This window comes from Homo sapiens, chromosome 3, assembly GCF_000001405.40.
Source record: "Homo sapiens chromosome 3, GRCh38.p14 Primary Assembly".
Classification (NCBI taxonomy): domain Eukaryota; kingdom Metazoa; phylum Chordata; class Mammalia; order Primates; family Hominidae; genus Homo; species Homo sapiens.
In genome coordinates this window covers 127,405,856-127,407,563 of record NC_000003.12, presented here as the reverse complement: position 1 = coordinate 127,407,563, position 1,708 = coordinate 127,405,856, and the positions used below count along the sequence as shown (strand labels likewise).

At 56.0% G+C, this 1,708-nt stretch overlaps 1 annotated feature.

Annotated features, from left to right (window-relative positions):
* Nucleotides 1,122-1,181: an enhancer, noted in NCBI's record as "active region_20456". NCBI's record gives its function as "activates an Ori minimal core promoter by ATAC-STARR-seq in GM12878 lymphoblastoid cells {active_cell/tissue: GM12878}" and the evidence as "EXISTENCE:reporter gene assay evidence [ECO:0000049][PMID:35858748]".

The following is a 1,708-nucleotide window of genomic DNA, read 5'->3' as shown; positions in this document are numbered from 1 at the left end:
CAAAAATCAAGGTAATTGAAACAAAAACCTAGACATCTAAGCTCTCTGGGGAAATGGAGGAATCGGTCCACACTGTGCCCACTCCCATCTGGATGAGTTGGCTGGGGCTGGGCGGAGGTCATCCCCCTTAGGTGGGGCCACGGTCCCACAAGCGCCTGGTGCTCACTGCCAACCCTGTTACTCATGTCCCTAAGCCTCCAGCCCTCTGGGGCTCTGAGTTTGGCTCTCTGATTACCCCAGTCATCTTTCCCCACCTTGCGGTGGGTCCCTTCTGCTCTGTGGCAGGGTCTGCCCAGAGCCATGGGGCAGACTTAGTCTACTCTGGCTTGGGGTAGGAGGTGGTTGCTGTGCAGGGGTGGCTGGAGGCCCAGAGGGTTCTGCATAATACTCACAAGACAGTGATCAGGCAAGGCTCCCAGGGAGGTGGTCTCCGGGGAGAAGTCAGCCTAGGGGAGAGGAGACCATGGAGGAGCTAAGGAAGCCTCTGGGGTGTGGTCAGAGGGGTGGAGGGCTCTGAGAGGAGAGGGCAGGGGCAGGGCGGCCTAACAAAGAGCCAGAAGCCAAATGCCACCAACTGAGCAGCATGGAGGCCCAGCTGCATTCTGCCTCCGTGGGGAGACACTGAAGCCTGCAGCCAGGGATGGGACGTGGTGTAGTCGACACAGAGGTGTCCCTCCCCACTCTTCACATGCCTTGTTGTAGGTGTGCAGTGGAGACCACCTCTGACTGTCAGCTTCTTCAGGGCCGGCTTTGCCTGAGGCCATGCCCTCCTGAGGGCTCTAGGGGATAAAGGCCCCACCATTTCCATCTGCTTGGGGCACTGAAGGGCTTGTTCTGTCTGGAGCTCCCCTCTGGGTTGGCTGAGCGTTCTCGATTTTGCATTGCAGACTGACTTCTCCCTCTGCCCAACATTCCCCCACCAACCCTTCTTCTCACAAGGGTTGATCCCTAATAAACATCTTTCACCCCAAACTCATCTGGCCGGTGGGCCGAGGCAGGCTGGGGAGGAGGGTACACTGTGAAGTCAGGAGGTAAGCTGGGAGGTTCCTGCACCAGCTAGAGCCGAGAGGAGGAGACCTGAGTCATGCCATGGAAGACCAGAAAGTTTCAGCAACAGTGGATCACGTGGGGTTCAGCCCCCTGCTGGTGAGGTAGGAGCGACCTGAGCGCAGGTCCTGCCTCCACAATTTCCTGGTGACTCTGGGAAGCTCCCTGTACCTCTCTGAGCTGCAGCGATTGTATCTGTAAAATGGCAAGAATAGGGATGATAACTGTCTTGGGGGGTGGTTGTGAGAGTTCAATTGGATAATAGACTCAAGAAGCTCAGGCAGGGCTTGGTATGCAGTCTGCACCCTTTTTGTAAAGGTTGTATTGACAGGTTTGGTATCAATCATAGAACCCCAGAGTCAATCATCAATATAAACATCTGAGCAATGTGAGCCCCTCTCAGCCCTGGTGTGGCCCTCGGTTGAGGGAATTCCCACCGAAAGCAAAAGACCTATTGTGGTCTTTTCCTCCACAAATGAGTGGGGTATTTTGAAGTACTGGGAATTGGTTGGGGACACACATTGCTGTCTTCGTGGAGCCTGAGCGGGTCGGGGATCCGGGGCCGAGGGAAACGTTGCCAGAGGGCTCAGGAGGGTCTCCAGAGGCCAGTGAGATCCCAGCCCAGCAAGTTCCCAGGTTCTTGATACCGTCCAAGAAAGAA